This window comes from Homo sapiens, chromosome 2 (assembly GCF_000001405.40).
Source record: "Homo sapiens chromosome 2, GRCh38.p14 Primary Assembly".
In the NCBI taxonomy this organism is placed as follows: domain Eukaryota; kingdom Metazoa; phylum Chordata; class Mammalia; order Primates; family Hominidae; genus Homo; species Homo sapiens.
This window is the reverse complement of record NC_000002.12, coordinates 183507140-183529155: the sequence shown is the minus strand read 5'-3', so window position 1 is coordinate 183529155 and position 22016 is coordinate 183507140. Positions and strand designations below refer to the sequence as shown.

General features: G+C 38.3%; 2 annotated features.

Moving 5' to 3' along the window:
* Positions 17402–18011: an enhancer, noted in NCBI's record as "OCT4-NANOG-H3K4me1 hESC enhancer chr2:184375873-184376482 (GRCh37/hg19 assembly coordinates)". NCBI's record gives its function as "activates a minimal SCP1, AML or CMV promoter by ChIP-STARR-seq in naive and primed H9 embryonic stem cells {active_cell/tissue: H9 hESC(naive and primed)}" and the evidence as "EXISTENCE:reporter gene assay evidence [ECO:0000049][PMID:30033119]".
* Positions 18012–18621: an enhancer, noted in NCBI's record as "OCT4-NANOG-H3K4me1 hESC enhancer chr2:184375263-184375872 (GRCh37/hg19 assembly coordinates)". NCBI's record gives its function as "activates a minimal SCP1, AML or CMV promoter by ChIP-STARR-seq in naive H9 embryonic stem cells {active_cell/tissue: H9 hESC(naive)}" and the evidence as "EXISTENCE:reporter gene assay evidence [ECO:0000049][PMID:30033119]".

Below are 22016 nucleotides of genomic sequence, written 5' to 3'. Positions count from 1 at the left end.
CAGAAGGCAGAGTGGAAACAAGCATCTTACATGGCAGAAGCTGGAGCAAGAGGCAGGGGAGGAGCCACACACTTTTAAACAACCAGATATCATGAGAACTCACTATGGCAAGGACAGTACCAACAGAGATGGTGCTAAACCATTCATGAGAAAGTGCCCCCATGATCCAGTTACCTCCTACTAGGCCCCACCTCCAAAACTGGGAATTACAATTTGACATGAGATTTCAGCAGGGCCACAGATTCAATCCACATGAGGAAATACAAAAATGATACAAATTTTCTTATCTCATTATTTATTTAAATATTCGATAAACTATATGTACAAGGACTATATTAGTCCATTCTCATGTGCCCAAGACTGGGTAATTTATAAAGGAAAGATGTTTAATTGACTCACAGTTCCACATGGCTGGGGAGGCCTCAGGAAACTTACAATAATGATGGAAGGGGAAGCAAACACATCTTTCCTCACATGGTGGCAGGAGAGAGAAGTGCCGAGCAAAGGGGGAAAGCCTCTTATAAAACCATGAGATATCATGAGAACTCACTATCACAAGAACAGCAGAGGGGAACTGCCTCCATGATTCAATTACCTCTCACCAGGTCCTTCCTATGACATAAGGGTATTATGGGAACTATGAGATGAGATTTGGGTGGGGACACAGCCAAACCACAACAAGGACTAAACATTTTCTCGACCTTTAAAAGATCAAAAGATAATCAGTAATATTTGTATCCGATTCTATTGTCTGTTGCAATTCTGATTTCTCAAGCACTGAATATTATTTGGCTAACAGTTATTTTTAATATGTATATATAAATATACATTTGCATACATTCATACATACTATTAAATTACTAGATTATTGGCTACATGTGGTTATAAGACTAGGTCAGTAGTTATATTCCTCAACAGGGGGAAGTTCCAGCTTATCTTCTTAGTTAGCTCCAAGTAGAAATCATTAAAACAACTTTGTCTCCCTCAGGAATCTTCACCCTCTGCCTCAGTCAGTGCACTTCAGTTTTTACAGCATCATTTGTTTCTCCAGCATCTCAATTTTCCTCTCCATGGACCCATGAGATTTAATCACATGTGTAGCAAAAGCCTTATGTTCTATTTCCTTTTTTTCAAGGGCTACAATTTTGCATCTGTGCTGCCTGCCTGAACCACTGAAGATTTAATTTACTTGTCTAACTCATCAAAATTTCAGACATGCTTCATCCCTTCCTTCTTGATGATCTTCTCATTTCCTTCTCTCCTTCCAAACAAACAAAGCTGACCATGGACCTGGGCTTCCAGTCATACAACAATTACAGTCCATTGTATCCTGGGCAATTTCTCTTCATTTCTTCTTGTTTGGAGAATGTTCTTTCTCCACATACTTCCAACTGTTTTACCCCAGTACATTTATAGCTTGAGTTATTAAGGCAGATTGCAAAAAAAACAAAAAGTCACGAAGTCAACAACCTGCATTAGTAACAACTCTCTAGTAGGACAGTAGTAGGTCCCAGATCTTACTTTAATTCACATCAAATTTCAAAACATGATTATCTGCCCCCTATAAGAAAGAGTGTTATGTTTCCATTGAATCCAAGCAGAGAATCACTTAATTAGGGTTAGTAATATGCTCATGTTCATGCTAGAGGAGGAGTTAGGCCCAGGGTTTTCAGAGGCATATTACTATTCTCTCTTTTCATCATAAGCTTCCTAGGAAAATGCCATCAAAAAAATTTCTTACCTAACCAAAAGAAAAGTGAATGAGATAGATAAAATTCCATTTGGCCAAAACTGAACCAAATAGGCTATTTTATCCAGTGTATCATACCCACAATTCATTATGCCCTGAAATGGTCCTTCCTTACAGCTAGACTTAAGTTGTTAATGGAATCTCGGATCACTTCTATGGTGCATTTCCCTCAGACATTTGAGAAAGTTAGGGTTACTGCTTTAATTCATTCCTAGCCTGCCCATACACTGCCTTTAACAAGTCTTTGTGGATGAGAGCTAAACGAGCCAAGAAAAATGGTAACTTTCCCAAGCCATGTCAATGTCACCATCCTTCTTTTTCAGAGGGCTCACTGTATCACTTCGTAAAATAGCCAATAATGCATGGATATGTATATCGTTTCTCTTATGGTTGCCTGAGGCCCCAGATACATTAAATTATGTTTGACAGAAAGTTAAGCTTCAAGATAGCTCTACTGGATGTCTCCATATGCATAGAAATATGCATACGGCTGAATAATCCAAGAATAAACCAGAGAAATTTGTTTCTATATTTTTTTTACATTTCTTGACATTTACTTATTGCTTTTTTTATTATTTCAATAGCTTTAGGAGTACCAGTGGTTTTTGGTTACATGAATGAATTATATAGTGGTAAAGTCTGAGATTTTAGTGTACCTACCACCTGAGTAGTGCCCATTGTACCCAATACATAGTTTTTTATTCCCCTGCCATCCTTATCTCCTCTAAGTCTCCAGTGTCTATTATAGCACTCTGTATTCCTTTGCATACCCATAGCTTGGCTCCCACTTCTAAGCAAAAAACATGTAGTATTTATTTGGTTTTCCATTCCTGAGTTACTACATTTAGAAAAATGGCCTCCAGCTCCATCCAAGTTGCTTTTCCCATGGCTGAGTGGTATTCCATTATATACATACTGTAATATATACACACACAACATTTTCTTTTCTCATCAGTTAATGGGAACTTAGGTTGGTTCCATATCTTTGCAATTGTGAAGTGTGCTGAGATAAAAATTTGTGTACAGGTATATTTTTGATGTAGCAGCTTTGAATTTTTTTCATGCAGTAATTAACTGAACTATCAATGACTCTTCTTTGGGAAAAAAAAAGGCAGTGATATTGTATCTTAAGAATTTTCAAAAGGTTGTTACTTTACACCGAAGTTATTCTCCTTCATGTAACATACAAGTTCACTCAGAGACTTTGAAATGAAAGGTTCTTTTGCCTGCTCCACAAAAAGCTCATTGATCGATTATCTTTTAGTTTTATGTGTGGCCAACCCTTTCCCAAACAACTAGAATGGCGCAGCAAGTTGTTAGATCTTATGAAAGGAATATTGAAGCCTAATTTGTAAATTGTATATATTTTTTATTGGGAGCTTCAGTGAAAGAAAAGAATCACTGTGTAGTAGTTTCTTCATTCTTTAAAACAAAAAATTTTCTCAAAGACTTAAATCCTTGTTAAATTTCTGCCATAAATGTGTTTTAGTAAAAGCTGAATATAAATAGGGACTATGGACTTCCTTTAGCTCAAGCATTTTTCAATGACCAAAGTCAAGTCATTATGAAGCAGAACAAGTCAGCCTTCTGTGGTTCAGAATACCTGCAAAAACAAATGCTTCATAGAGCTGATGGCCAAAATCTCACCAGAAAATATCAAAATATACATATTTCAAGAATTATTATAAATTGGAATTACTAATTTCCAGCAAATTTGTATGAAAATTCATACTATGAGTTTATGAGGCTATGCCAAAATAAAATACATTTGTATACTTGGACATCATTAAGGACAATCAGGTCATGCAGTTTCAATCCACTTCATAATAATTTTTCAAATACATCTTGACTTTTTGCTGCTAATTTATCCTTCCCATTGTATCTTTCTTATTTAAAAAAAAAAGTTTTTTTAGTTTTGCTTATTATACAAAAGATAAACACTGTTGTGTTAGTTATCTGTTGCTGCATAACATGTTAATGCAAAACTTAGCAACTTGAAATGATGCATATTTAATATCTCACAGTTTTTGTAGGTCAAGAATTCAGGCACAGTTCATCTAGGTGGGTCCTCTGCCTCAGAGTCTTCATGAGACTGTTATTACGGTGTCAGCCCAGGCTGCAGTCATCTTAACATTCAACTGAAGTAGCATCCACTTCCAATTTCACTCCATGGTTGCTAGCATGATACAGTTTCTCACAAGCTACTGGACTGAGAACCTCACTTTGTTGCTGGCTGTTTGCAAGAGGCTTTCCTGGTAGGTCTTTCCATCAAAGCAAGCACAGGAGATGACCCAGGGAGAGAGAATATCAGCAAGGCAGAAGTCACAGTCTTTATAACCTAGTCACGGAAATAACACCCCATCACTTTTGTGAGAAGCAAGTCACAAAGTTCAGCTACACTCAAGAAGAGAATATTACAAAGGCTTTAAACACCAGGAAGTGGGGACCACTAAAATATATATCAGAAGCTGCCTGCCACAACTACATATACAACAACTACATATACACTTTGCACCTGTTTTTTCCACATAAGAATAAATCACATAAATTAACTGCTCTCAGTTTCTAGAGACTACATAGTGTTTTCATGACTGCATAGTGTTCCATTGCATGCTGTGTAACCAGTTTTTTATAGTTGAGCATTTATTTCCCACATTTTACTTTTACAGTGACATAATCAATAGCCCTCTATATTTGTTATTTTATATTTGTATACAAGTACCTCAAAAGTAAGTCCCTAAAAATGGTCTTTATGTAAGTAAACATTTAATTTTATTAGATGTTGTCAAATTCCCTTTCATAAGAATTATAACATTTTGCCTTCACAATAACAGTATGTGTAAATTTCTGTTTCCCCACAGACTCATCAACAAAGTATATGGTCAACGTTTTATGTGTTCCCCAATTTGAAAGGTAAAAATGTACTTTCAATCTTTTCACATATTTAAATGTCATTAGATATCTTTCTCTGTGAACTGTTCATATCTTTTACCCATTTTTTTTCTATCAAGTTTTGGCCTTATTTCCCCTCACTTTTTATTAGTCCCTTCATATATTAGGTAAATTGGCCTATTGTCTGTTACAGAAGTTGTAAATATTTCCCCCTAGTTGGTAATTTGTCTTTTGACTTGCTGATAATTTTTTCCTGTGCAAATGTTTTATATAGTCATTTATTAATCTTTCCTTTTATTACTTGTGAATTTTGAGTCATAAATAGAAAGGCTTTCCTACACCAAAGCTGTAGAGGAATTCAGTGATGTTATCTTTTGGTACTTGAATGTTTTGATTTTTTTGACTTAAGTCTCTGATCCATTTGTGGTTTATTCTACTGTTTTATATAAAGCATAGATACAATTTTATCTTTTTTGAAATGGCCAGTTTTCTTAACATCATTTATTTTTAAAGCTCATCTCTTCCACAGAGAACGTAGATATCATCTTTATTAGATACTAAATTTCAACATGCATTTGGGTCTATTCCTGGAACTTCCATTCTGTTCCATTAGACTATCCCTTTTATTGCTGTTCTTTTTTAGGATTTTCTGAGTACCTTTTTCATGATTTGTATACATAAATTTTAGAAGCAACTTGTCTAACTCCAGAAAGAAAAAAAAAAAAACAGTTGCCATTGTTATCAGGATCACGGATTCTCTCTAACATGGAGAGAACTGACATCTCTATCATGTGGAGTTGTCTTATCTAAGAAGAAAGATTATCATTTCCCATAATCAGGTGTTCAAAGGTTTTTTCATATAGTTTTTCACAGTTTTTAAGATTATTCCTATTTTATCTTTTATGCTGCCTTGGCACATAAGTTTCTCTTTCATCCAATTGGCTAACCAAAATACATACCACATTGATTTTTGTATCTTAATTTTATATCTTATTAGAATACATCAATATATCCAAAACCACATAGGGATAATAACATGCCTATCCATAATCTAGCAAATGGTAATTTGAAAGATTTCAAAGTCATCCAAAATGTATACATTAAATGCTAAATGTTCTAATACTTTCTAAAGACCTGCTTAAAGAATGCATTACTACCAGCTTTCGAGATTAAGAGGGTTTAGTGAACAGAGTGCATTTTGAAATGTTTCAATTAATTAAATCATAAATAGGAAAAATGCTGGTTTATTATGCATCTTAAAGCAGTTTTTACTAAAAATAACTTAATATTTTAAATAACTAACATTTGAAAAACAAAATGACAAAATGAATTTTATGTGCTTCAGACAGTGCAATGCCAAGTTAACTGCTATCTCATATCATATTGAAAGAAATAAAGTTTACTCATAGTGAGTGAACAAACATGAATAATATCAATAGGCACTAGGTCATTTATCCATTAGAGTAATGAATGCCACCTCATACTCATTTGGTCAGGAAGAAAAATCTAAGCAGTTTCTGCCTACAAACGTCAACATTTCTTGCTGATAGATGAAATCAAATCATGAAAGCCAGCAATTTTTATTGATGGTTTTCCCTTAAACTACTAAATCTGCTTCCTGACAAGCAATAAAATAATAACAAATAATATCAGAATCAAATTCTGCAATCACCAAACAGGAACACTCTGAAATATAAATGAAGATGAAGACCCACGTATGCCATGCACTTGAAACCTTACATAGTTAAAATGAGATCACTTCAAACAGTTATTTTTAGCCCAAACACATAAGCCAAAGAACACTAAAAACAAATCAATTAAGTTGTCAGAAAATCTCTTCAACTCTGTCCCTATAATGTGAAAACTATGCTATGCAAAATTGCTGAGGTTAAAATTGCAACACCATTTTAGAAAGAATGTAATTTTTTAATGCACATTAAAAGGAAAAAAGTTTTAGTTGAAGTAAATGTCCTTGAGTTCTTTATATAAACAAGATTTGAATGTGGTAATAAGAAAGAAAGAACCCACTGGATTTGCAATGGCGAGAATTATAGCTCGTTTTCTTAACATAAAAAAGTCAAATTGTAAAGATGCTTTCCCCTTCACCTAATTCCACATTTACCTTCCACTTTTATATTTAACAATCAATGCCAAGGTATTTCATCCCACTTCCCTGCAAAGCACTTCAATCTCAGCATACTTATTTATTTATTTTCCCCTTAGTAATAACCTAATAGGAGTGAATAATTTTGCCTCATTTTTCTTTACTTGAGCATAAAGAATAACAATGAATAATGTGGAATTTAGCCACAGTTTTATTGAACTCGATCAAGGTCATTTTTAAATAGGGCTAAGTAGCTTAACACAACTCAAAAAGGAATTCTTACAATTCCTGATGTTTTACAGATGTAGTCCATCCAAGTATAGTTTTTAGAACAGGCCAGCACCAGAAAACAGTAGTTATGTTAAAGTTTAAAAAGACTGTAAAACCAGGGGAAAAAAACTGAACTTCAAAAACTATTAAGAACATATGATTTTTAAGTGATAAGGAGAAACTGACAGCACTAGTTGAAGATAAAGCTTTCCATCTGTTCTCTTTTGCAGCCGAACCAACCTATCTCCATTATGGGAGACCCATCATTCCAAAATTTTTAAAAGGCATTTTTTCCCCATAATCAGAACCTGTACAACAGTCAAAAACGTAACTGACAAAACAGGCCTCTTGTCATTTATTGCTTTTTCCTCTTGAATGCATTTCACAGCTTGAACATATCTTTGTTTTACCAATTCTAGCCCACAAAAAGCTCACTTGCCAACCCACATAGAAAATAACTCAAATTGCTTCTTTACAACTCAAGATTATAGAGTGGTGGCAACCCTTTCATCCATAGTATCTTAGCAATGCCAATTTGTTTCTGACTTTTACATTTTAAAACATCCAAATCAGATGGTTTGGTAACTTTCAATAAAAATTCCTAGTAAGCATTAAAAAATAAGAATCAAAAAGTGGTTCTTTATCATCAAGGTCATGCAGAAAGATGTAGGAGTAACCAACTGCTCAATGAGTAAGTGCATTTACATTAAAGGTTAATATATTCAGTCTTGCAGTTCAAGAAGAAGCCATCTGGTTTCAAATACAGAGTTGAAATGAGTCTATAAAAAGGTAAAAATTCTTGCAAACAGCTCAGAAATACACATCCAGCAATTTCAAATATATCACTGTTTCTTTTTTGGGAAAAAAAAAAAGCCTTTATAATTTATATCCAAACCTACCAAGTGAACACTTGCCCTCTACACATCTATCATTAACACACAGTGAATAAGGTGTTGCTGTCTCTAGATTTCATCTTACCAAGTCATTGTCTTTTTAAAGTGTCAAGACAGCAGTCAGTTATACCTGTACTTAACCTAAGGAAAAGAAAAATCACACTTCTGGTCTTTATTCCTCCTCTCCACCCCCAAACATCTCTCTCCCAGGTCATCTTGTGGACATGGGGGTCATGCAGTCCTGTGACAAGAGAGAAACAATAGCCTCACCTCCCTGACACCCCAAGAAGCTTTGCCATTTTCTAACCCACCAGTGGTCGCTATCTTATAGTAAATTTGTATGAGTCTTTCCCAAATGGAATAAAGCACTGTCTTAAGCTTGTGGAAAAATCAAACAACTTAAAGCAAGATCTGAAATTAAAGGTTAAAACAAAATCCTTTGGTACTCAAAAGTCCATTGCATAAGTTATTTATTGCAATATCGCAAACCACCCCAAAAGTTAGTTAGTGGCTTAAAACAACAGTTATTTATTATTTTTTTTTCACAAATCTATAGCTCAAATTGGTTCTTCTACTCAATGTGATTTTGGGTCACTCATGTAGCTGCATTTATTTGGTATCTGAGCTGAAGTGGAAGAGTCAAGATCTCATCATATGGCCGGAATCTTGGCACTGATTGTCAGCTGGCCCCCTCAGTTTTTCTCCATGTGGCCTCTCTCTCTATATATAGGGACTTATCTTCTAAGGCTTCTCCACGGTTTCTTCTCACCGTCAGGACAACCTGGACTTCCCTCATCATGGCAAATGGGTTCTTAGGGAGCAAAATCAAAAGCTGCCACTCCTCCTAAAACCAGGCCCAGAACTGGCTCAGGATTACTTTTTTGTCTGTTGTCTTCTATTATTCAAAGCAAGTCACAAAGTCAGCCCAGGTTAAAGGGAGAGGGATGTGCAGGGGATCGATTTTTTCCTCTTGATGGGAGGAATGCAATGCACATACAGGAAATGGGGAAATTGTTGGACAGCCATCTTTGGAGATCATCTACCACATTCTAAGCACCATCAAATAAAAATTTATTTAAAGAAAGAGAAAAGCTTTCCTTATATAATAGGATGACAGATGTTTATTTGTTAACTCTGTCACCATAAGAAACAGATGTTAAATGATAGAAGAAATGGCAAGAAAAGTCTACTTCTACTTAATGCTGTGATATTCAGAAATTGCGACAGAATACAACATGCTTCCTTTATTCTTAATATTACTCAGTATCATAATTACTAAAAATTACTGAAAACACTACTCACTGCAATACTAGTGAGAGTTACATTGCTACTCCAGACCTTTCCCAGCTTGGCTTGCTTTCAATAGCAATCAGCCTTATCTTATTACAGTAAACACAGAGGCCCAGAAATTAGAACAGGTGCTATGTGAAGGAGTCAGAAAACCTCCCCAAGACCCACAGATCAGATAGGAGTATCTATTACTGCATGGTAGCTGTGCTGATAGTTAATATTTACACTATTTTCCCCCAGAAATTATTTAAGTCTTGTCATAGTATAGGTGTATTTGGAAAGAAAATGATGTTGTGATACATAAACTCCTAGTTTTGAGCAGCAGGTCAAATGTACAATCAAAGCATAAAGTTACCATTTCCTCAATAACCTCCTCTTTGTTGGCCAGGAAATTGAAAGAAAAGTAGATCAAAACAAAGGTTCCCAGAAGGGAGAAGAATAAGAAGAGTTGAATGAGGCCCCTTCTATATACTAAAATCCTAACTAGTCCAGTAGCCTTTCTCCTTAAAGGAAACAACAGTAATCAGACTGTGGTGAGACAATCTCTCCAATACTGAACTAGCCCTTAACACCAAGCAGTGAAGAAGCTGTCAGGTCACTGCTTCTCCACTATTCATTCACTCATTCTTTCATTCATTCATTACTCAAATATTTATTAGGGCCTACATTGTGCCAGAACCTTCTAGCATCTTTGGATACATCAATGAGCAAAATGAGTACAGGCCCCTGCAAACATGAAGTTTACAATTCAACAGAGAAAGACAATTAAAAAATAAACATGATAATACAAGTAAAATGTATTGTGTAAGAAGATGATAATTGATAAATACTTTTAAAAAATGAGTGAGATAAGGGGTATGTGGAGAGTTGCGCTGTTAGGCATGGTGCCATTTTAAATAGGGTGCTCAGGAAACAGGCCTCATTGGAAGCATGTCATTTGGGAAACGATATTAAGGTGTTGAGATAATTAGCAAGGAGGATACATAGGGGAAGAGTATTGTAGGCAGAGGAAAGGGCAGGAACATTTCTGTGTATTGGGAAAAAGCAAAGGCCAGTAAAGGTGGAAGCAAGGAAAAGAGTAGCTAGAGATAAAATCAGAGAAGTAACAGAGGTGAGATCATGCAGGGTCTTAAAGCCACTGATTTACCTTGACTTTCTCTCAATAGAAAGGGGAATTACTTCAGGGTCTTAAGCAAGGAGCAGCAAGATCTGACTTTTTAACAAGATCCCTCTGGCTGCTCTGCTGGGTTTAGACCATTGAAGGGGGCAGGATGTGGGGGACAATGGTAGGAGGAGACAAGCAAGTTAGGATGCTATTATGGTTATCGAGACAAAAGTTGATGATGTTTCGAGTCAGAGTGGTAGAATGAAAGCGGTAAAACGTGAACGAAATTTCTATATTTTTTGAAATTACAGCCAACAGCATTTCATAATGGATTGGATGTGAGATTTAAATAAAAGAAAGGAGTAAAGGATTAAAGCACTATTTCTGGTTTACTAACTGGAATGATGGAAGTGCCATTAAATGAGATAGAGAATACTGAGAATAAAATAGGTTTGGAAAGTGAAGGTTTCAGACAGGTCTGACATGAGATATCTGTTAGACATTCAAATAGAGAAGTCAGGTCAACAGCAGATACTGACACCTGTAGGTCAGGCTAGAGCTCTGAACAAGAGATATAAACTTGGGATCTGTTTGCATGTACTTAGTATATAAGGTATGAGACTGGATGCAATCACCAAGGGAGTGAATGTGCTGATATACTCCAACAATCAGAGTACAGGCAGAAAAGGCAGCATCAGTTAACAAGATTGAGAAAAACAAGCCAGTAGAGTAGGATTAAACCCACAGGATTCTGAGGTCCTAGAAACCATGTGAAGAAAAAGTATCAAGGAAGAGGGTGTGAGCAACTGCATCATATGCTCTGAGAGATCAAGTACAATGAAGACTGAGAATTGACCATTGAAAAACAGAACCAAAAAATGCATTATTTCACAAGCACAGTGCCAAAATGCCCTGTGAGACAATATCTAATCATTCTTTAATAACCATATAAATTTTTTAGTTCCATCTTGTTCCATTTAAGGTTAAGGGCAAAACTATTAAATAAACTGATTTTCTGTCAGACAAGAGTGAAAATGCTATTTTTTGGTTCCCAAAATCAACATGGCATGACCATAATGCCTTACGCTTAGTTACCTCAATAACAACATTTCCTACAGGGCAGAATGCAGCCTGATAAAATCAGACCTAAGGTGCCAGTGCCCATCTGTTTGTTTGAAGTCTTCCATTCCCTAAGTCTTCCTTATCTACCAAAAATGGACTGAGTAAAAGGAGAGAGAGGGAGAAAGCAAAAAGCTAACCATAATTTGTAAAAGCAACATCCTAAGAATTTAAAAAAATCCACTGAGAAAAAATTTAAAACATCGTCTTTATTTCTTACCTTTAAGTGTCTTTTTCTTCTAAATTTTATAACATAGTGTTACAAGTCAATGTGAAGAATTGCCTAATGAATAATATACTTTCAACAAAGAATTTAACCCACTCTCTCACATCCATGTGTTACATATGGGAAGTAAATAACACAGTGTTACAAATGTTACTCTTATATTAACAAGGCTATAAAGATGGACACTTAAAACGCTCTAGTAACTTATTTTTTCCAGCATAGGAAAAAAAGAGAAAAAGAAGTAATGCAAAATGATAAACTCTCTAGTATTTTACGACATTTCCCTTGATGCCATTGTTTTTTAAAAAGCCATCTTACTATTATCTTTTCATTCATCTTTCAGCTACAAGAATAAAAACGTGTTCATTACTCTACGCATTAGAAATGTTTCTAAAGAAACTCGGTACACAAATAGAACTGTATTTTTCCTGTGACTGAGATTATGATTTCATAGTTCTCCTCACACTGAAGCAAGATGTCTTTTGAAATTATCTCTCAAAATAAAATCTCAGTAATGAGATATGCATTGAAGGTTAGTATACGTCAGACAGTGCTGCAAGCTGAGTTATACTATGGCTCCTACTTACACGGAGGTATGATCTCTGGAAGGTGATAAAAAATATACAGACCTAAAAGGTAGCAATAAAGAGCTGGGTAAGATTATTGCCAAGTAAGTGATACAGAAAATAAGTGTTATGAAGCCTGAAGGCTACAAAAGATTGCTCCCAGGAGATGTGGTATAGACAGCTTTCAAAAGGCAGTGGGTCTCCCCCAGGGCTTAAGGAAAGGAGTAGGAATTGAAAGTAGAAGTCAAGGACAGGACATAGCATAGAAAAAGGCACACAGGTAGAGTTGTTCTGGGTTAGTGATGGATAAGACTAGCTGAAGTAGAAAATACAAACTGAAACAGAATGCCTGAAAAGAGTGAATTTAATAGCTATATACCAAGAAATATGCCAGTGCCACCTCTGCTCTCCCTTGCTCTCTCCCCACCTCTACACCAACCCCTCCCCAGCCTTGAATTAACCATGACCTTTGAAGCCAAAGACACTTGAATGCCAACTGTACATTTCCATGCCTGTATGAACTGTATGAGAAAGTTATTTAGCTATATGGACCTCAGTTTCCTTACCTATAAATGGTGATAATTATATGCACTAAAAAGACAATTTTTCCAATAGTAATAAGAGTGTCTAGTATTGTGATAGGCACCATGCTCAGATTATTTGCATTGCCTGATTTAATCCTTACAATTATCCTTGGAAGGCATGTATTCCTTTTGTGCAGATGAGAAAATGAATAAGCAGGTCAAATTACTTGCCCCAAATCAGACAGACAAAAATTGGCAAAGCCAAGAAAGATCAGAGATTTTGCTGACCCCAAAGTCCCCATATTTAGCCACCTTAATACCCTAGAAATAATAAATGTAAAACATTAGTACAATGCTTGCAGATGAACTTATTATTCTTCTCCAAAATTCCATAAAGTAGTACTTGTTTGTTACTACTGTTGTTCTTATTACCATAGATGAGAAAAATCAAAATCCAGGGATTTTATGTAATTTCCCTCATGTGACTTGGCTGATAACTAACAAGACAAAAATAGATTGAAATCTGATTAACAAGTTTCTTAAATTTCAATAGAGCATCACTGCAGTTTTTTGAATGTAGGAATAGAATCATCAAGACATTCCTTTGTAAGAGTTAACCTGTTTCATGAAGCTTTTACTCAATATTCCCCTAACAGAACCAAAACTTTCTGTATGGGGCTTTCTCTGTAGCCCATAAATACCTGTAACACTGTATTGCATATATGAGACATATTTCTTCTAGTCTAGACTATGATGAGTTCCTTAGAGGAAAGCTCATTTCCTACCTATCTTTGCATTTCCAAAGCTTAGCACATGTGCATCAAATTTAGTGCATACTCAAAAGCATTTGATGCATAAATGGATGATGAATAACACAGATCTAATAGAATCAAATGGAAGTACTGTGGAAGTCCACATGCCAGCTTCAGGGTCTCATGAACCCCACTGAAGTTTATATAACATGTGGACTGTACGTGCTTAAGTGCATTTTCAAGGAAGAAGTTTCATAGTTCTCATCAGATTCTCAGAAAGGTACCAGACCCCATAAATATTAAGAGCCATCAGACTCAAGGTAGGGAAACTAGTTAAAAGTAATTGAATTTGTACAAAAGAAATGTATAAAGGACTAAACTAGTGCTATGGCAATAAAGAATAATACAAAACCAAATGATATTTCATAAATAAGCCCACAGAATTTGACATAAAAACCTAGTAGCCATTAGGTTTATTGTTATACTGAATATAATAATCATCCAAGCAGCATCTATCACATACTTTTCTCTCATTGTTTTTATGCCACTCACTAGTCTAATTGAAACAAGTTACTCAAATGAAGGAGTCCTTGTAGTATAATTACATTACTCTGGTCTTGTAAACCAAAAATGGAGGACCCTTCTCCCCAGGATAATTTCAGGAAAGAAGCATCTCACTTCATGGCCAGCACCCAAGCTGAAAGTCTACTTAAACCATTCTCTGAATTCTCTATGTGGAGTGCAATAATCTTATTTTAACTGCTACATCAGTATTGAAAAGAATCACAAAATTAATGCTATAACTGTGTACATTGTGCATTCCTCTTGTCCACATGAACTACTGTACTAACACCATATATGCTTAATCATACATTGCACATCTATGTATTATTATACATTAGATTTCTGCCCCCATAAATATCCAGTGGGAACTACTGTGAAGTGTCATTTTCTATGGTTCATTCCAGTAAGATGTGGTAGAGATATGACTGTTCCAACTACCTGGGTTCTTTCATGACATAACTAGTGTCTAGAAATGTTAAATGCATGTACAGTTGACCCTTAAATAATGCAGAGGTTAGGGGTGCTGAACCCCTGCACAGTCAAAAATCCACATATAACTTGATTCCCCTGAAACTTAACTATTAGTAGCCTGCTATTGATTGGAAGCATTACAGATAAACAGTTGATTAACACATATTTTGTATTTTACATGTATTATATGGTATATTCTTACAATAAAGTAAGCTACAAAAAATAAGATGTTATTAAGAAAATTAGAAAGAAGAGAAAATATATTTACAATTCGTTAAGTGGAAGTAGATCATTATAAAGCTCTTCATCCTCATTGTCTTCACATTGAGTAGGCTGAGGAGGAAGAGGAGGGATTGTTCTTACTGTCTCAGTAAGAGCAGAGGCAGAAGAGGTGGAGGAAGTGGAATGAGAGGCAGAAGAGGCAGGTACACTCACTATAATGTTCATTTTTAAAAATCTACATATAAACCTACCCACACAGTTCAAACTCCTCGTGTTGTCAAAGGGTCAACTGTATTTCATTCTCCAAGCCTATGATGAAAGTGCCCAGCCTTTTTTGCAAGTTGTATTGAACAAATGTTTATTGAATTCTGATATACGTGAAGAACTAGATACTAGAGATACAGATTTAAGGAGTGGGAATTTTCTCCCTTTCTGCTGGAAAGATGGAGGAATTTTAACTTAGTAAGAAGAAAGCCAGAATTTTAAAAATATATTTACTAAATCACTAATGTGATGGATATTGAATTACATACAGTGATCTCTAGTAAGACTGAGTCTCTAGATATTGTGAGATTGAGATAAATCATACTGTGTTCTTATTGTTATTTTCCTCCCCTCTTCCAATATTTTTATAGAATTATTTTAAATTATAAATAAATAATATTCCATGAAAACTCAAAAAGGGCTTAAAAAAGGAAGGTGTTAGGAAAAAATAAAGGCCAGCTGACCTCAGTGCTGGTTAAAGATTTACAGTGATAACTGTATATAAATGTCAAGCAATAGAGTTTCTATCAGTAAATAGGTGCAGTATTTTTTGCTGTTTTTTCTCCAGGTAATTGTCAATGCAACTGGACATCTGCTGCCTTAATTTAGTTCTGGTTTTACATTAACTATACTTAAGCATTCTGAAAGTGATCAAGCATGTTAAATGAATGCAAAAGAAATTATTTAAACACAAACAGGGACATTTACAAAAATATTTAACACCTCTGTGGACTAAAAAAACAATGAAAATGGAACATAACATGTACAGCTAAAACTACAGGCTTACTCTACCGTTAGTCCAGAAGCAGGCCCTAGTAGCTTGGAGTTTTGATCTTGTACTACAATAGGGACTAAATATTCTACTGGTGAGATGGTGTAACAAAGTCAGACTCATTGCTTAAAATTGGGGCTGCAGTGTTGCAACCCCCACAACTTGTTCTTGAAGAGGGTCAAGCTTTATAAGAAGCTCCAGACCCAGGTGAGAGGTGAAGCCAGCTGGGCTTCTGGGTCAGGTGGGGACTTGGAGAACTTTTCTGTCTAGCTAGAAGATTGTAAATGCACCAGTCAGTGCTCTGTCTAACTAAAGGATTGTAAATGCACCAATGAGCATTCTGTAAAAATGCACCAATCAGCACTCTGTGGCTAAAGGATTGTAAATGCACCAATCACCACTCTGTAAAAATGCACCAATCAGCACTCTGTGTCTAGCTAAAGGATTGTAAACACACCAATCAGCACTCTGTAAAATGGACCAATGAGCTCTCTGTAAAATGGACCAATCAGCAGGTTGTGGGTGAGACCAAATAAGGGAATAAAAGCTGGCCCCCCATGCCAGCAGCGGCAACCTGCTCAGGTCCCCTTCCATGCTGTGGAAGCTTTGTTCTTTTGCTCTTCACAATAAATCTTGCTGCTGCTCACTCTTTGGGTCCGCACCAACTTTAAGAGTGGTAACACTTGCCACGAAGGACCGCGGCTTCGTTCTTGAAGTCAGCGAGACCATGAACCCATCAGAAGGAAGAAACTCCAGACACATCTGAACATCTGACAGAACAAACTCTGGACACACCATCTTTAAGAGCTGTAACACTCACTGCAAGCGTCTGTGGCTTCATTCTTGAAGTCAGCGAGACCAAGAACTCACCAGAAGGAATAAATTCTGGACACATTTTGGTGACCCAGATGGGACTATCACCAAGCGGTGAGTACCATCGGACCCCTTTTGCTTGCTATTCTCTCCTATTTTTCCTTAGAATTCAGGGGCTAAATACCAGGCACCTGTCGGCCAGTTAAAAGCAACTAGCATGGCCAACGGACTGAAGTCATGGGTGTCAGGCTTTCTGAGAAAGGGCTCTCTAACGACCTCCAACTCTTTGGAGCTGGGAGCATTGGTTTGCCTGGAACCAGCTTCTGCTTTTCTGTACTTATGGGCTGAGCCGAGGGTTGACAGAGAGGAAAGCCATTGAGCTCCGGGGTCCCAACAACAAGTTGACTGACCCTGCGGCCATGAGTGGAACTCACAAAGTCACATCACCCAAGCGAGACTTGCCCATCTATCCTGACTCTTGCCTCCTGGGTCCTAATGCCTGTCAGACAAACTTCCTCTCACCTCTCTTCTCAGAGGTCAGTCCTGCTTCTAAAAACCACTCCCTGTCTCTGGTGTTTTCTAGTTTCTCCTATAAGAATGATTTCTAGTATAAACTTCAGGACTCTGTAAACTTCTTTAGGCACCCACGCTCACCAATCAGAAAGACATAATTTTTGCCCAAAGCCCTGTCATGGGGGGTACTATCTGGAATTTTAGGATCCCTCCTCAGACTAGCAGGCCTAACAAAAGCTATTCCTGCAGCTAGGATATGGCGAGCCTCAGAAATGATATCCTTCCTATTCAAGTGAGGACAAAAGGTGTCACTCTTCCAACCCTGGAGATCCCTTCCCTCCCTCAGGGTATGCCCCTCCACTTCATTTTTGGGGCATAACATCTTTATAGGATGGGTAAAGTCCTAATACTAACAGGAGAATGCTTAGGACTCTAACAGGTTTTCAAGAATGCATTGGTAAGGGCCACTAAATCTGATTTTTCTCGGTCCTCTTTGTGGTCTAGGAGGACAGGCAAGGGTGCAGGTTTTTGAGAATGTGTCCGTAAGGGCCACTAAATCTGACATTCCTCGGTCCGCCTTGTGGTCTAGGAGGAAAACTAGTGTTTCTGCTGCTGTGTTGGTGAGTGCAACTACTTCAATCAGCAGGGTCCAGGGACCATTGAGGGTTCTTGAGTGAGAGGTATTTCTGCTGCTGCATCAGTGAGCACAACCATTCCTATCAGCAGGGTCCAGGGACTGTTGCAGGTCCTTGGGCAGGGGGGAAACAAACCAAAACCACAGGCAGTTTTGTCTTTCAGATGGGAAACACACAGGCATCAACAGGCTTACCCTTGAAATGCATCCTAAGCCATTGGGACTAATTTGACCCACAAACCCTGAAAAAGAGGTGGCTCAATTTTTTCTGCACTATGGCTCGGCCCCAATATTCTCTCTCTGATGGGGAAAAATGGACACATGAGGGAAGTATAAATTACAATACTATCTTGCAGCTTGACCTTTTCTGTAAGAGGGAAGGCAAATGGAGTGAAATACCTTATGTCCAAGCTTTCTTTTCATTGAAGGAGAATACACAACTATGCAAAGCTTGCAATTTACATCTCACAGGAGGACCTCTCAGCTTACCCCCATATCCTAGCCTCCCTGTAGCTCTGCTTTGTATTAATGATAAGCCTCCTTTAATCTCCCCCACCCAGAAGGAAATAAGCAAAGAAATCTCCAAAGGACCACAAAAACCCCCAGGCTATCGGTTATGTCCCCTTCAAGCTGTAGGGGGAGGGGAATTTGGCCCAACCCGGGTACATGTCCCTTTCTCCCTCTCTGTTTTAAAGCAGATCAAGGCAGACCTGGGGAAGTTTTCAGATGATCCTGATAGGTACATAGATGTCCTACAGGATCTAGGGCAAACCTTCGATCTCACTTGGAGAGATGTCATGCTATTGTTAGATCAAACCCTGGCCTTTAATGAAAAGAATGTGGCTTAAGCTGCAGCCCAAGAGTTTGGAGATACCTGGTATCTTAGTCAAATAAATGATAGGGACAAATTCCCTACTGGTCAGCAAGCCATCCCCAGTGTGGATCCCCACTGGGACCTCAACTCTGATCATGGGGACTGGAGTCATAAACATCTGTTGACCTGTGTTCTAGAAGGACTAGGAGAATTAGGAAAAAGCCCATGAATTATTCAATGATGTCTAACATAACTCAGGCAAAGGAAGAAAATCCTTCTGCCTTCCTCGAGAGGCTATGGGAGGCCTTAAGAAAATATACTCCCCTGTCACCCGACTCACTGGAGGATCAATTGATCCTAAAAGATAAGTTTATTACCAAATCAGCCACAGATAACAGGAGAAAGCTCCAAAAATGAGCCCTGGGCCCTGAACAAAATCTGGAGGCATTATTAAATCTGGCAACCTCAGTGTTCTATAATAGGGACCAAGAGGAACAGTCTGAAAAGGAAAAGTGAGATAAGAGAAAGGCCGCAGCTTTAGTCATGGCCCTCAAACAAACCTTGGTGGTTCAGAGAGGACAGAAAATGGAGCAGGCCAATCACCCGGTAGGGCTCCTTATCAGTGTGGTTTGCAAGGACACTTTAAAAAAGATTGTCCAGTGAGAAACAAGCTACCCCCTCGCCTATGTCCACTATGCTGAGGCAATCACTGGAAGGCACACTGCCCCAGAGGACAAAGGTTTTCTGGGCCAGAAGCCCCCAACCAGATGATCCAACAATAGGACTGAGGGTGCCTGGGGCAAGCGCCAGCTCGTGTCATCATCACCCTCACTGAGCCCCTGCTATGTTTAACCACTGAGGGCCAGAGAATTGACTTCCTCCAGGACACTAGCATGGCTTTCTCTGTGTTAATCTCCTGTCCCGGACAGCTGTCCTCAAGGTCCATTACCATCCGAGGAATCATGGGACAGCCTGTAACCAGGTATTTCTCCCACCTCCTCAGTTGTAATTGGGAGACTTTGCTACAGATAGTAAGTATGCTTATCTAATCCAAAATGCCCATAATGCAATATGCAAAGAAAGGGAGTTCCTAACCTCTGGGGGAACCCCCATTAAATATCACAAGGATACCATGGAGTTATTGCATGCAGTGCAAAAACCCACGGAGGTGGCAGTCTTACACTGCCAAAGCCATCAATAGGGGAAGGATGGGGAGAACAGCAGCATAAGTGGCTGGCAGAGGCAGGGAAAGACCAGCAGAAAGGAAAGAGAGAGAGAAAGTCAGAGAGACAGGAAGAGACAGAGACAAAGAGGGAATCAGAGAGGAAAGAGAGAGAGAGACAAGGAGAGAGAGGAAGAGACAGACAAAGAAGGAAAGAGAGGAAGAGACAAACAGGGAGTCAGAGAGAAAGAGAGTGACAAAGAAGAAGTCAGAGAGAGAGATGGAAGTAGGAAAGAAAAAAAAGTGTACCCTATTCCTTTAAAAGCCAGGGTAAATTTAAAACCTATAATCGATAATTGAAGGTCTTCTCCGTGACCCTATAACACTGCAATACCACCTTGTTGTCAGTGTAAACAAGGGCATAGCCCGAAAGCACTGAGGCCACTGACAACCCATAGCCTTCCTATCAAAAATCCTTAACCCAGCAGGTTTCCTAACAGGCGATCTAAATCTTAATTAATTACCATACAAAGGTCCGACCAGATCTAGGAGGAACTCCCTTCAGGACAGGATGATAGATGGTTCCTCCGGGGCGATTAAGGGAAAAAGACACAATGGGTATTCAGTAAATGATAAGGAAACTCTTGTAGAAGCAGAGTTAGGAAAAATTGCCTAATAATTGGTCTGCTCAAACGTGCAAGTTGTTTGCACTCCGCAAAATTTTAAAGTACTTACAGAATCAGCAAGGAGCCATCTATACCAATTCTAAGTTAATATGGACTGAACGAGGTTTTATTAATAGCAAAGAAAAATTAAAATCTCAAACTTAACAAGGTTTTGAACCAAAGTAAAGTTTGCTAAAAATTAACAGTGTAACATGCATTATCCTACTACCACACACTCTCAAAGGATTTCTCAGAGAGTTTGCAAGAAATAACAAAATCTATCCAGTAAAGATAGTAACTACAATCCCAAATAGACTCTTTGGCAGCAGTGACTCTCCAAAACCACCAAGGCCTAGACCTCCTCACTGCTGAGAAAGGAGGACTTTGCACCTTCTTAGGGGAAGAGTGTTGCTTTTACACTAACCAGTCAGGGATAGTACGACTGCCACCTGGCGTTTACAGGAAAAGGCTTCTGAAATCAGACAATGCCTTTCAAACTCTTATACCAACCTCTGGAGTTGGGCAACATGGCTTCTCCCCTTTCTAGGTCCTGTGACAGCCATCTTGCTATTACTCACCTTCGGGCCCTGTATTTTTAACCACCTTGTCAAATTTGTTTCCTCTAGGATCAAGGCCATCAAGCTACAGATGGTCTTAAAAATGGAACCCCAAATGAGCTCAACTAACAACTTCTACCAAGGACCCCTGGACTGACCCGCTGGCCCTTTCACTGGGCTAAAGAGTTCTCCTCTGGAGGATGCTACAACTGCAGGGCCCCTTCTTCACCCCTATCCAGCAGGAAGTAGCCAGAGCAGTCATCGCCCAATCCCCAACAGCAGTTGGGGTATCCTGTTGAGAGGGGGGATTGAGAGGTGAAGCCAGCTGGGCTTCTGGTTTCGGTGGGGACTTGGAGAACTTTTCTGTCTAGCTAGAGGATTGTAAATGCACCAATCAGTGCTCTGTGTCTAGCTAAAGGATTGTAAACGCACCAATCAGCACTCTGTAAAATGGACCAATCAGCAGGATGTGGGCAGGGCCAAATAAGGGAATAAAAGCTGGCCCCCTGAGCCAGCAGTGGCAACCTGCTCAGGTCCCCTTCCACACTGTGGAAGCTTTGTTCTTTTGCTCTTCACAGTAAATCTTGCTGCTAGTCACTCTTTGGGTCTGCACCACCTTTAAGAGCTGTAGCACTTGCTGCGAAGGTCCGTGGCTTCATTCTTGAAGTCAGCAAGACCATGAACCCACTGGAAGGAAGAAACTCCAGACACATCTGAACATCTGAAGGAACAAACTCTGGACACACCACCTTTAAGAGCTGTAACACTCACTGCAAGGGTCCGCGGCTTCATTCTTGAAGTCAACGAGACCAAGAACCCACTGGGAGGAATAAATTCTGGACACATAAGGAGGCAGGAGGAGAATGGCACAACCTCATCAAAGTCAAGCCAAGCCTCTCTGTAACGCCAGTGGCTAGATTTGCACTATTGCTCCTGGACAGTAGCCCTCAATACCATTATAAGACTTGGATCTGGTCTGGGACACCACAGGGCTGGTAGAAAACAACTGAAATAAAATAGACCATGAAGAATAATCCTGAAGTAGAGGGACAGGAAGAAATAACACAAAACTCT